General features: G+C 47.4%; 1 protein-coding gene across 12 annotated transcripts in view, besides 2 other annotated features; it reads right to left on the bottom strand.

Moving 5' to 3' along the window:
- MSI2 (musashi RNA binding protein 2) overlaps positions 1–14,635 on the bottom strand; it is a 445,731-nt gene that overhangs the window by 155,881 nt on the left and 275,215 nt on the right. The window lies entirely within an intron of this gene.
- Positions 11,686–11,875: an enhancer, noted in NCBI's record as "active region_12442". NCBI's record gives its function as "activates an Ori minimal core promoter by ATAC-STARR-seq in GM12878 lymphoblastoid cells {active_cell/tissue: GM12878}" and the evidence as "EXISTENCE:reporter gene assay evidence [ECO:0000049][PMID:35858748]".
- Positions 11,886–11,935: an enhancer, noted in NCBI's record as "active region_12441". NCBI's record gives its function as "activates an Ori minimal core promoter by ATAC-STARR-seq in GM12878 lymphoblastoid cells {active_cell/tissue: GM12878}" and the evidence as "EXISTENCE:reporter gene assay evidence [ECO:0000049][PMID:35858748]".

Genomic DNA, 14,635 nt, shown 5'->3' with positions numbered 1-14,635 from the left:
GAGAGAATGGCTGTCTTCTCCAAGTCATAGGAATTAAAGACAAGAGTTCATTAAGTCACAATACTAGAATTTCAACGGCCTGCTACTTCAGACAGCTCTATTTACTGGTCCCCCCATCGGTGATGCCCTTTGTGGATAAAAGGAGATCTCTAGACAAAACACACACACAGAAGTTTCCATCTTTGGGCAGTCGGCTGCCATAGCTGCTGCAACTAAAGGGGGCTCTGCTCTGATGTGTCTGGAACAGAACAAGGTGGGATACAGGGGTGGGGATGTCTGGAGTTGAGAAGGGCACGTGCTCCTAGCTATAAATATGGTAGCTGGTTCACTGCTATCCATCTGTCTGGTCCATCCATCCACCCAGTTCCAATTCATAGCAAAGGACATATGGGAGTTTCATCTTCAGCGCAGATAACCTTTGCCCAAAGAATCTTTGTCTGTTCAATTCACTCACCGCCCACCCCACGGTCCACTAGGCAATAGTGAGGAGGCACTTATGAGGTTGCATTAACGCTCTACTTAAAAAACGGGGGGGCCTCCAGAATTCAGAGGGGGGAAAATCTGCTATACAGTTCCTTTGAAAATCTTTCCTTTCTCTAAACTCAGTCTCCTTCTCTGCCCCCACCTCCCCCACCAAACGTGCTTGTTTCTCCACTGGCTGCCAGCCAAGATTTTATAATAGTGTCAGGTAGCAATCTCATTTTTAAAATGCTCTTATCAAGGATTTAAGGTGAAAGATAAGAACAGCACAGTAAATCATCATAAAGGAGTGTAGTATGAGGCATAGTATTTTACAAATCAAAACAGTTAACAAAATGAAAAGGCAAGGACAGGAAAACAAAGTGAGTTTAAGCATCCTTTGAAAGGGGGAGGGTAGAGGCCAAATTAAATAGAAACATCACCCTTCAGATTTCCAAGCTCCCTTTGGTAATGGTCTTGGCATATTTGCTAAGAATTGCAAGAACAGTCCAATTTCCATTTTAAAATAGGATGTTTTTAGAAGGCATATATATTGTCAAACCATTACACACACTTAACTGGGGGTTTTCATCGAAGTCATCTGACCTGCAAGCATGTGTTGCTAATATCGCTGCTTTATTATTTATCAAATCAATCTCTTCATGGAATGACTAATAACACAACCCCAGCTGCTCTCCTCTTCCCACCCCAGCTGCTACTGCCCTGGCAGCAGCAAGATTCGCTGGGCTACCTGCAGCGCCCTACCCCGTGCATTTTGAAAGAACCTTATAAAGAAAAGAAAAGAGGGGATGAACCCAGGAGGTGCCATTTCTGATTCAAACCACTTTGTTTCTGGAAGCCACTTATCCTACCCAGGAAAAGTGAACAACGCTGCTAATGACCAGGCCAGGGTACTAGGCCTTATCAGGGGATTTTAATTAGTCCCACACTAAAGAGGCCATAAACCTAAAATAAAGCAAAATAAAACAGGGGCAGGTGTCTTCTCTCCTATTTTGATCCTTTATAGCGTTTTTGATTCCAGTTTACTTTCTGAAACCAACCGAGGGCCACGTCCAATTCAAATGTGCCTTGCACCCTCCTACCTACACACAAACACACTCACAGGCACACACACTCTGCAAGCAACACTCACACGCACATACACACAACACACAGAGCTGGGATGCAACCCTAAAGAGACAACATAGTTTTTCACTCCTGAAAATAGTCATTAAGATGCTGTTTATTCTAACTTTTTATATATGCTCACCAATCTCTCTGGGGCCTACCTGCAAATTCATAATAAATAAAAACATGTAATTAGATGATTTCCTCTTTGCCAAGGAATGATTCAATTGTCCATTAAAAGCTAGAGTTCTAAAAATAACATGAAGGGAAATTATTAGGTATTGTTGATACACATATCTCTGCTGTAAAACATATGGGCAAAATACAAAGCTTCTTTTGTAAATCTTACCCATTTTTGAAAAGGTAAGACAGCATGGGGGAGGGAGCAAATTAAACCATAATTTTCAAACGACGTCTCCTCATTGTCACTCAGAAAAATTGCCAGGTGTTTCCAGAGTAGTTTATACATAAATATACTAGCTGAATCAGGAAAACTCTTTCCAGAGCAAATGAATCAACTTAATTAAAAGAAGACTTAAGATGCCAAAACTAGTGATTTTGGAAGTGGGGAGGAAATTTAGAACTCGATCTGTAAGCACACACCTCTCTCTACCTGGCCTCTGGGGTAGAAATGCATAGGCACTTTAAATACTGCAACAGACCCCTGGCTAAAGCGTGCCGTCCCCCCAGCCTTCCAGGGCTGCAACCAGGCAGCATGGGTCCAAGGCGGAACTACAGGCAGGACTGATGTTTTTGATTCAAACCAATACTTTCAGTGTTTCTTCTAAATCAGCTGTTAAGAACAGCTACAACAACACTAAAGGCATTTTCCCCCCCTCTTAAGCCAGCAAGAAAAAATTCTCATTAGTTTGCTGGGTTCTTTCCTTGGGTGCTGGAAAAAGTGTTCCCAGATCATTTCTTTAGGTCTCCAAGGCCCTCTTCAGAAGACAGGTGTAGCTCCTACACGCCTCTCCAGACAGGGCTCCTGCACCTCCGTTTTGTTAGAGCAAAGGAAGTTGAGATGGGAAGCATTGAGTAGGAACCATTCTCAGTTTTCAGGCAAATTAGGACAGAGACCAAGGTGAGTGCCCACCCTCTTGTCATAGATTAATGGTATTTGCTGGGCAAAGGGGACATGGAGGAGAGTGGAAGACACAGATACAAATCAAATAATCAAGCAAATAGCAATCATTAAGAACTGAGAAGTGCCACAAAGGAAAATTACAAGAAGTCATGGGCACAGACGACGGATGGAGCTGACCTAGTCACCCACGAAGGGCCCCACATGAAGGAGGCATCCCCACCTCCCAGGGCTTAACAGCAGGACACGTGCCAGACTGCCCAGACACAGACCAGGCTCAAAGACCTGGTCCAAGTCAGCAGTGCTGCCTTTTTAAAGGGTTTGAAAGCTGGAAGGCTCCTTGAAGGTCATGTGACCCAGGGGGTGCCCAGCCCTGACTGCATATTAGCATCAGCTGGAAAAATGTTAAAAATAACCAATGCCAGGGCTCCATCTTTCAGTCTCACTTAATTGGTCTGGGGTGGGACTCAGGCATCAGGACATCTTAAAAACTCCCCAGGGGATTTTAGTGTACAACCAGGTTGGAAACCATCGATCCAATTCCAACATCTAACATGACATTAATCAGTCATCATGCAGGGTGACCAATGCTAAGGCTGTGGGATAAATTATCTCAGCCAGACTTTCCTAACCAACCCTGTCTCTACATGAGAAAATCAAAGTCGGCCACAGAGTGAAGCAGCTCTTGGGTTGCCAGTGAAATCTAAATTCCAACTAGAAGAACGTAAGGGAAGAGATGAACTTTGGGAAAGGTCCCTTCTCTGCTTTATTGTGCAACAGTGTTGAAACACATTTATGACCTTCCACTAAGAAGACATTTCCGACGGACTCCTTGGGTCACCACCATTCTCACTCAATGAACACCCAGCAGCGGGGTGGCAAGTGGGAGGGAGCCCAGGGCTGGTGAGAGACACACAAAACACGGCCCACTGTTGCTCCTGTGTCTATTCTGGGTCCCGAATAGATGATGTCACCTCCAGCGGCAGTGGAAAGCAGAGTCATGAATCATCCATGAACCAGCCCAGCCCTCCGAGATAATAAATCGGATGTCAGCATTGCGTACGCACATTGCAGATCTGGTGCAGAGGCGCCAGCTTTGCCTAGGGTGCTAGAACGCAGGCACCAACGCTGGACACATTCAGGGGGAAGAAGGCACTTTCAGTTATTTCCTGATACCAAGATGGGTGGCAAGTTGAGGGAGAAATTTCAAATGCGTAAGGAGTGCTCAAAGGTGTACAACTTTGATCACTTTAAAATCATGGCAGTGATTTTTATACACTACTTGGTTTGCCAACCAAACCAGGGGATTAAGAGAAGCACATCCACATGAGTGCTATAATGATCAATTACTGCTGTGCCCACCGGTGTCCTTACAACTGAAGACCTGTAGGTGTTGCCATTTTGACCCCCAACTGCATTAATTTAGCTTAAAAATTCACTCCAGGATTGAATTGGCAAATGTTCCTGCCTGAAAGAGCTTCTGGGACAACATAAAGAAATAAAGAAGTCTGTTTGGCAGCTTTTGAAGTTCAGTGTTGTCTTGCTGTTTTCTTATTTTTTTTCAGGATAGAAAGGAGGCAGGTATATAGGGATGCCAGGGTGCATGTTGTCATACACATGAGCTCTCCTGAATTCCTTCCTTTTCTTCCTTTCGTTCTTTTTCTGGATTATTTCCCTGAATTGCCAAGTTGAATGAACCAGCTAGAAACGCCACTCTAATGAGTATGGTTTGTGTCGCTGGAGTTGGGAATTCTGACAACTCATAACTGTACTGGTTATTCCTTGGCTTATAAAGAAATGACTGAGCCCTGCAGGCCACTAAATTAAAATGTAAACTTCAGACTTCTTGAAGTGTCTCTCTCTCTCTCTCTCTCTCTCTCTACCAAAATGTATCTTTAACATCCTAAGGTCACTTTCAAGGTCTTTGGCAAATTAGACTTGGGCAAGGTGTGAACCAAGTCAGGCTTCGGGGGCTGTGTTCTCAGTTGCATGAAAGGTCTTTTCTCTAACTTCTCTTGCACATCATTTTGCTTAGGGGGGTTGTGACTAGCAAGGCACAGAGCGAGAAGGATAAGTCTGACCACCAGGACTGCAGGCCAGTAGTGAGCAAGGGGACATACTGGGCAGGAAACTCTGCTTTGCCCTATTATTTTCCTAGGGCTGCCATAACAAGCTACCACAAATGGGAGGGGGGAGCTTAAAACAACAGAAACTTATTCTGTCTCAGTTTTGAAAGCTAGAAATCTGAAATCCAGGTGTTGGCAAGGCCATGCCCTCTTGAAGGCTCAGGGGAAAATCTGTTTCAGGCTCTTCTCTTAGCTTCTGGTGTGGTCAGCAATCCTTGGCTTGCAGCCGCACTGCCCCTGTCCCTGCCTCTGAGGTCATGTGGCCATCTCCCTGTGTCTCTCTCTTCACATGTTCCTTCTTATAAGGACTATGGTGAGATCAGTTCACTCCACTAAGACCTCCTCTTAACCCGATTACACCTCCAAAGACCCTCTTTCTAAATAAGGTCACATTCTGAGGTATTTCAACTTATCTTTTTGGGGTTAGGACTTCTTTTGGGGGTATCTTTTAGGGGTCAGGACTTCAACTTATGCTTTTGGAGGACAAAATTCAGCCCACAACACCCTTCAAGGTGGAAAACTTGACAGCATCTGCCAGCAGCCATCTAGGGTGTTAACATTCTCTCCAATCAGCAAGCCTGAGCCTCCATTCCCGAAGTAATGACAGTCACAGTATTCTTAGTAGTAAAATAACAATAATTAATATGATAATGACAAAGTTAACATTTACAGATAGCCTTCCAAGCATCAGATGTTTCACACAGATAAACTATCTCACTTAAACTTCCCAAGTCCATGAGTTAATAACATTAACACCATTTAATAGATGAGAAAACTGAGGTTCAGAGAGATTTAGTAACTTGTCCAGGGTCACACAGCAATTGATTAGTGGTTGCTCTGGAAAGTGAGTCCTGCAGTGGGAATCTGGACCTAAGCTCTTATCCCTTTGCCACATGGCCCAGACACTTCACAAGCATCATTAACCGGGTGTTGCCTTGACTCCTAAGCCATAAACAATGGGAATGCAGAGGAAGATTCTGCATTTGCCACGCTGTGTAAGGTCCCCACGTGTTTACTAGTCATAACTTGGGGTAGAAAAATGCTTTTAACTTTTTTTAAACTTGAATTACGAAGCACTTTGAGCTCCTGGGATGGAGGACCTCCCTGTTCTGGCCCTCCTCCCCTCTGGTCTTGGATGAACTGGCGCAAACCAGGCTTCTTTTCAGACCAGGGCCAGTCTGGCTATTCTAATAATAGCACGTTGTCTGGGAAGAGCAGAAACTACTAAGAAAATCCTCATCTATCCATCAGATCATCTGTTTATGGAAACAAAAAGCAACCTCTGTCTCCAGGTTCAAGCAATTTTCCTGCCTCAGCCTCCTGAGTAGCTGGGATTACAGGCACGTGCCACCGTTCCTGGCTAATTTTTGTATTTTCAGTAGAGATGGGGTTTCACCCTGTTGGCTAGGCTGGTCTTGAACTCCTGACCTCAAGTGATCTGCCCACCTTGGCCTCCGAAAGTGCTGGGATTACAGCCGTGAGCCACTGTGCCCGGCTGGTAAATTTTCTTTCTTTCAAAAAGTCTCTTTCACGTTGTTCTATCACTGCATTGACAATTCAAATTGGAATAAATTTTAAAAGCTCACACTAAAGAAGTAAATGAATAGGTAATAAGTGCATAAGGTACAAAAATTCAAAAAGTATTGCAGCGAGCCAAGATTGCGCCACTGCACTCCAGCCTGGGCAACAGAGCCAGACTCCGTCTCAAAAAAAAAAAAAAAATTCAAAAAGTAAATGAGTATATAATAAAAAGATTCCCTCCGTCTCTGTATCTCAGGTTGCTTAATTCTCTTCCCCATAAAAAAGGAGCAAACACTTTTTTATGTATGTATGTTTTTAATGTATGTACATCTGCATATGATATGCACGTGTGCATAAAACATATTTGAGTGTTTAGTATGGGCAGAGACTGTTCCAAACCCTTTATACTCATTAAATGACGTAAGCTTCAGGCTAACCCAATGTCCTATTTTACAGATAAGGAATCTGAGTTGCAGAGAAGATAAGTAAGTTGCCCAAGGTCACACAGCTATTAAGTCCCAGAGCTTAGATTTGTCTCACTTCAGAGCATGTGATCTTAACCAATATGCAGTTCTAACTCCTTGTTACCGATTTTGCAGGCATCCTTTCAAAGATATTCCATGCACATGCAAGCATATGTGTGTGTGCAAAGCAGAGGAAAAAACAACCACGAAAGGGTTTTATTTTTCAAGACTAGGGTCCCCAAAACTCAAACACAGATTTTAGTTTGTTTGCCTAAAGAAGTTAAGCAGGTGGTTTCACTTAAGGAGGAAGGGGGAAGAAACCAGGCTGCCCCGCACTCTCCACTTGCGGGGAGTGGGGAGTGGGCACCTCGCAAGCGGAATCATTTAACTCTTACAGAGCGGGTGTGTTACCTTCACAAGGGAGTAAAACATCTTGTAACTTGCCTGAGATCACGCCCAAGGGAAAGCTGGGATCTGAAACCGAGTATGACCAACTCTAAAACTCAAGCTCTTTGCAGCATACCATGCTGATATACAGATACAGATGGGATAGCGTACACCCTCTGATCCACAAACTGAAAACAGAGGCTGAAGTCCAGAGGTGCATAATAACCGGGACCCCTCTAGGAACCTTAAGTCCCAACGGGGAGGCAGCCACCCAGGGCTTGCGGCGACCCCTGGCCCAGCCCTCTCCGGCCACTGGCAGTGCCGTGATGCTAAGAAAGGGGGTGCTTTTAATCAAGCTGCCATGCTAAAAGCTCCTTTCTCTTCAGATCTCCACACTCTGCCCTCACCGAGATCTTAAACCATGTTGTGAGAGTCAGAGCCTGGGCCTCTATGGGAACAGGACCAAACAAAAGATTCATTGTCCCTCTCTACAAAAAAACCACTTCTGGGTCAGTGAAGTTGCTGACCCTGAGCCCACTCCCTTTCTGCTTCCGTGGGCCACAGCAGGGGGAGGCAGGAAGACCTATTAGGTCACCACCCTTTTGGTGCCAGGGCTTTTATTCCAAAGGAAAGAAGTTTAAGATTTGTATTTTGGCTAAAAAAGTGCAGCTCATCCTGGGTACCAAACTCCCCCTGGCTTTGCAAGCTCCCTCTTGCCCCGGGCACCCTGTCCCCCAGCCCTGTTGCTAGGAAGTTGAGGGCTTTGTATTACTCCGTGTCTCCAAAGAAGAGCAGGTGAACAGAAACCAAGCTACTGTGTTGATTAATATCTCAAGAGACAGCGCCGGAATGGGCGCTTCCGGAATTGAGTTAACTCGGGGGAAAAAAATGAAAGCACACTCCTTGCTTTCCTGTCAGAAATAAAATTAAGGTCTTGGATCGATGTTGCCAGATTCTACAGGAATCCTTAATGGCCTCCTCTACATGTTTTCAAATTCACATTCCCCTTCAACCCTACCCTTTTAATTGGTTATTTGCGAGGTCATGTTTGCACCAATTTCTCAGGAAGGCTAATGGTGTTTATTTAACGAGAAAATAAAATGTGCAGACAGCTCCGGGGCTGGTCTCTGAAAGATGGCAAAGGGTGGGCTGACTCTTTATCCCACCCCCTCCTTTGCCCTCCATCGCTGCAAGGTTACAGGGCCTGGGGATACAGCCCTGCAAGGCAGTGAAGAGGCGGGTGTGCCCCTCACGGTGGGCACGCAGCATGCCCACCCCCTCACACAGTCCCAGCTTTAGAATGAGCCCACTGGAGGCACAGAACCTTGGGTTCTGAGAATCTGGCAGAGGGGCAATGGCTGTCCTCTTATTGCCACTGTTGGACTAGGCGATTCTTCCTTGTTCTAACTCAAGTGTGCCCAACATTGAGGCTACACAGAACTCTTTTCCAATGGAAACTCTTCAAGTACCCAAAGGCTGCAATGAATGACCACATCACAGCTCTCCACTCCCCTCAAGACCTCTTGGACTCAATCATATTGAGTTTCTACCCCATTCTCACCATTCTCTCCCAGATTCCTGTTGGTCAATGTCTTTCTTAAACAGTTGCCCACCGCCCCACCCTCTGCCACCCAACAATGGTCCACTCTGGAAAGAGAACTGGATTTTCACCTAACCCCATCTAGGACCCTGAACTTACCTAAGAGAACCCAGCTGGCATGTTACATCACACTACGGACTAAACTGAAAGCTCTGGGAGGCCAGGAACCCTGGCTGTTGGTGGTGGTCTATGACAGACTGTCCGCTTTCTTGTCAAGTGGTTTCTAATCCTGGTGCAGAATTAGGATCAATACCAATAGTGACCAACTGTTGGTTTACAGGCTTCCAATAAACCCCTTAACACATCTCAGACTTGGGAGAGGATTTGATGGATACTTAACACCATCAACAATTAGTGAAAAGATAAGAGCAGATTTGAGAGGTGGGGAAAATACTACCGGTAAAATGCCAGCAGGGAAGACAGGCAGCAAATCCTGCTCCAGACCCCAAACGAGGGCAGCGTGGGAGCCAATCTTTTGCAGGCTGCCCTCCTGTCACATCAGCAAAAGTGTCATCACCAGCTGTGATTCTACACATCCTTATCATACTTTCTACTCCCTCCAACAACCCTTCTTCTTGGACTGTGCCCTTTCTGGCCAGAGGGTCTGATCGTTTTTGTCAAATACACTTATTCCTCCATCCTACAAAGTCACATGTACAGCTTATACAGTCCCAACGTTCTTCCCTAGGTAAATAAAGTCAGAATGTTAGACTCTCATTAGGAAGGACATGCATACATTATGTCTGACATCCCACACCTACAAGTGAAGCAATGCTTTAAATTATTTTAAAATGTAACCTACACCTTTGTGAAACTTTTTTCTATGCCCTCTTTTTTTTTTTGAGTAATAGACACCAATAAACAAATAATGACAGTGCAATTCTTAGGCATCTTTATACATCGTACATAAAAGAGTCAATCTGGACTTCAGAGGTCAATTTCAAAAGTGAGTGTCTGGCAGGTATTCAAAACATTAAGGGCTGTTCTTCCTCCTTAGAAAAGCATTATCTTCTATCACAGCTTAAGTTACATCTTACTGGCACCATTTTAATAAATAAACCGATTACGCAAATTACAAAGACCTTAAACTTTGGCCAGCTGCTTTTCGGGACAGAGACTGAGCAAGCTCCAGGAAGAACCCAAGCTCTCCGGCCACCTGCCTGGATGCTCCTCCCTCTGGCTGGATCCCCAACCACTGCACCTTTCCAGCCCAGGAACTGGGATAAACCACAGCCACTCTGGGAAAGGACCCTCTTAGTTCAAGAGGCCTGCCACTGATGGTGCTCGCTGGGGCTCACAAAACCATCCCACCCCCTTCCAGTGGGTCTCAGGGCTGTTATTCCTCTCCAAAGCCATTAGCATTGCATTTAATAAGCAACTGCTAACTGCTGGCAGAAGAGTCATCCATCACACTAATCTTTATTTCTCTCCCCGTGTCTCCTGTTCCTTTGCCTCTGGCAATGTTCCAGGGCAAGCAGGCCTGCTGGGTAATGAAGGCCACAGGGATGTCCTCTGCCAGAAACCACTCCCTCACCAGGCTATGGGATTAGCTTCAGAGACTCCTCACCTCCTTTCAACTAGGCCTCAACCATCCAGATCTTCCCTGGAGGAACCCAGCTGTGCAGGGCTCAGGAACCCAGGGCTCTGAAATTGGAGGGAAGGACAGCTGAGGATCCTCTACAGTGACCCTCACAATGGGGAGGGTTCCCTTCCCCCATAAGGAGGTGAGTGTGAGATTATTTCAGCAAGCAACATGCCCGCATTCCACTTTCTCCATCAGGGCTGAGGTTGTGGGGACACTGGAGAGAGAGCTGGCCAGTGCACCCTTCCTCCCTCCCGCTGGCTGTCTACTCCCCGGCCTCCTGCCAACAACAGAGCAAACTGGAAGGACAGCACCTTGTTGCCTCTTCCCTCCCTGTCCCTCCCCTCCAGCCCCACTTGGGATCAATACTTAATGCCAAGTCCCAGATCTTATCTGACTTTTACAAGGATAAAGCAACAAACTTCCCCCTCCTAATGATTAAATCCATTGACGATCAGCCCAGTGTTTTCCAGACCATCTCTAACAACTTTTAGACAGCAAATGAAGTGACTCTGAGAAGATTGGAAAGCCACCATTCTCCGCTCCCCCTGGGCACAAATCATCGTATGGAAGGCCAGGAAATGAAGTGAGGGACAGGGCCAAGGGAGGCATCCAGGTTTTTGTTTTATATTTTTGTGAGACGGAGTTTCACTCTTGTTGCCCAGGCTGGAGTGCAATGGCGCCATCTCGGCTCACTGCAACCTCCGCCTCCTGGGTTCAAGCGATTCTCCTGCCTCAGCCTCCCGGGTGGCTGGGATTTCAGGAGGCACCCACCACCACACCCGGCTAATTTTTGTATTTTTAGTAGAGACAGGGTATCACCATGTTGGCCAGGCTGGTCTTGAACTCCTGACCTCTGGTGATCCACCCGCCTCGGCCTCCCAAAGTGCTGGGATTACAGGTGTGAGCCATCGTGCCGACTGGCATCCAGGTTTTAACAACAGCTCTGCTCCTTGTCTGGCTGCAGGAATCTGCTATGCAATATTCCAAACTTATGTGCCTTAATTTCTCCAAGTGGAAATGGAGGAGCACGGTCATCCAGCAAGAAGGCTGTTGTGGAGAAGGACAGAAAATGAGGAAATACCAAACCCTTAAAATGACCAGCTCCTCCGCTTTAACCAGTTACCTTGCACAATGCTTGCAGAGTGTAAGAGCCTGAGCTCCAGGTCAGACAGGCTGGGTTTACGTCCCAGCTCTGCTTTCACCAGTGTGAGACTCTGGGCAGCTCGGTTCACCTATGGCTGTCTGTCATCAAGGTTCAATGGTAGGTGCCAGCACTGTGCTAAGCACTTGGTGTTGTAAGTGCTCAGAAAGTGTTGGCTGTTTCTATCAAGATTGCTAACATGGCCTGCTTAGACAGCAACAGAACTCCACACACCATCACAGTGGGTGCTGTGTCAGGATGCTTAGATCCCCTTCAGGAATGAAGGACCTCCTTCCCAGTGGCTGGGAGTGCTGCTGGAAGATAGTCCCCAGCTGGAAGTCCCCTCCAGGATTTCCCCAGGGGAAGCCCAGGTCACATCAGCCTCACAGGGTGGGCTGCACCCAATGACAGGCCAGCGTGCAGGCATCAAGGATGGCACTCCCACCCCAGCTGGGGACCCCTGAAGAACCACCCCATTACAGAAGGGCATCGCAAGTCAGCTTCTCCCTCTGCCCTCTCCTGATCAAGAGCACTTCTGGATAAACCTCCCACTTGCTAATCCCTTCCTAGAGTTGCTTCCCAGGGAACCCAACCTGCAACAACTGCCCATTCCCTCCCCTAGTCACAAAAACAGCAAAGGAATTCATCTTGAACATTCTCACAGTTAAAAAGCTAAAGGCCAGAAACATACTTCAGGTCCTGGGGCTCATCAATCCCAGGTCTCTTATTTTTTAGAGGAAGAACCTGAGATGCTCAGAGGTCAGGGAATGTGCCCCCAGGAAAAATGTCATGGGAGCAGCAGAAGCTGGAGGAAGGCCCATCTGCAAGGAGAAAGGTGAGAGCCCCCACATCTCCAGGGCTCCACCCACTGTGAGTCAAAGACTGAACGTGGGACCCTCTTCCTGCTTGCAGGGTGGAAGACATACATTGCGGGAGGCTCATTCTCTCCTAGGTCCTGGGTTCTCTCCCATGGCACTAGTGAGCCCCAGGCTGGTGCTCCTGTGGATGGGAGATACAAGCTGCCGCCATGCAGATGGAACTGAGGGCATCCCTGCCCCAACAGAGACCAACAGGGAGCAGGGACAGGAGGTGACCAGTGGGGTCAAGGAGTGGAAATTCTGCCCTGACCTGTGGCTCCTAACAGCAAGTGGAGACTGAATGGGCCCTGGGAGCCTGGCCCACCTGACGCTCATCAGATGTTAAGCCCAGTTCCCTGTGGTTATCCCCGAGCAGCAAATGTCACACAGCTCATGTCACACAGCTCCAAGGACACACAGGTAGCTGTCAAAATTCCTGGGGTAAGGATGAGTTGAGGCCCCAGGCTGCCCCACAGGGCTGGGCTAGGAGTCTGAGGACAAGTGCTGAGCATGTGCTGTGACAACACCTCTGGGTCGATGGTCTGGGCCTCTTTAAGAAGAGAGCTGGAGGCGGCGCCAGCCAGGGAGATGTCCTCAACTTCTGCCACTGCAGCACTTTCCTCTTGATAAGATCATGGACAGCAGGAACCGAGGAGGTGAAGGTAAGTTTGGGGCAAGGTGGCTGCATGAGGATTTTACTTCCTTGTGCTTATCACCTGACTCCAAATGTGCACTCCATCAGGCCACAGATGTGGGGCCGGCTCGCTCCATATATATGATCTGTGCCTCTGCTGTGATATGTTCTTCTTTTTGAAAAACAAAAATTTTTTTTCACTCTCTTCAATGTTCTAAATGCAGTGAAGTATTACACCAACTTTAGCACCCAGTTCAAAGAGAAATGCCTCCTCCGGTATCTTGAGGGGTTGGAACGTGTGTATGGGCCGCTGCTCCCACCCACACAGAAACGACATTGCAGAGTGGGAGGGCCCTGGATGAGAGGGAGGGCAGTGGGATGGCGGCTCTTCCCTGCTGAGGCTTCCTGGCATGTCTCTGCCCTCCACAGGCTGCAGCCCCTCAGGCCAGCTTCTCAATCATCTTTGAATAGGAGGCCCTGCCTTTCCTCTAGTTCTGGGCTCCACACATTTTAGAGTTGGTCCTGCCCCCACTGCAGGCATCTTCAGCTCTGGCAGGTCCGAGGGTGCTAGCAGAGGTTCTGGCTTGGCTGGGGGCAGGAGTGTGCATGCACCAAGGCCCTGCCCACGCTCCTTCCTGCCAGTGCCCACCAGGACTCCTGGAGAGCCAGCAATGATGTCCCGAAGCCATTCTGAGCAGCGGGCCTTCCAACAGACCATCCTCCACCTCACAACGGGCAAAAAACTCTTCCCACGCCCGTCCCAGACGAACCGCCACCCCATCTCTGCGGCCCAGCACTTTCCTTTCTCCCTTTTGGAAAAAGGGAAGAGGCTTCACCCACAGCAACAGGGATCTGGTTAAAAATAAGAGAGGACTTTTCCCGGCACATCCTCTGGGCCTTCACCCAGAAGTCCAAAGTCCGGTGTTTCAACCCCACCTCTGCCATGACCAGCCCTCTCCCTGCCCGGCTCTGAGAGTTAATGAGACGATACCAGTGTGAGCCCCCAGCACAGGGCTTGACACACAGCAGATCAAAAAATACTTTCACTGATTTTCAAAATAAAAGGACAACAGTATCACCTGGGGGCAACTCTGGAATCTCCCAGGACTATGAATTCTAACACTGAACACCAGGTGCCAAACTCAAATGGGCATCACCCACCCTGAAAATAAATAGCTGGCAGTGCTCTTTTTAACAAATGCATTCCCATCTGGACACAGCAGAGAAACAGCAGAATTTGAAATCAATAGTCCTGAGACCCTGCTCAGCCATGGGTCTCTCAGTTGCCTCCTCTGAGCCTTGGTTATTTTTCCAACCGGACGGAGGTGATGATAACGCTAATAATAAGAGCTAACATTTACGCACAATTGACTAGATGCTTGGCATTACACTCTCCGAGCAATCCTGTGAGGAGGTTCTATGATTACCCCCATCCTACAGATGAATAAACTGAGGCATAAAGAAGTTAAGTGATTTTTCCCAATGTCACAACAACCCTCCAGGGGCTGCTGTGAAGGTCACATTAGGAGATGCATCTGGAAGTCCGGCTTGGAAACCATAAAGCTAGATTGACAGAATGTGGATGATGATGGAGGATAATCCTCAATTGCCCACCACGGGCACCACCTTCATCTCACTCACTGGGCTCTCAC

Source organism: Homo sapiens, chromosome 17, assembly GCF_000001405.40.
Source record: "Homo sapiens chromosome 17, GRCh38.p14 Primary Assembly".
NCBI classification, from domain to species: domain Eukaryota; kingdom Metazoa; phylum Chordata; class Mammalia; order Primates; family Hominidae; genus Homo; species Homo sapiens.
The sequence above is the reverse complement of the archived record's forward strand: the minus strand, read 5'-3'. Positions and strand labels throughout refer to the sequence as shown.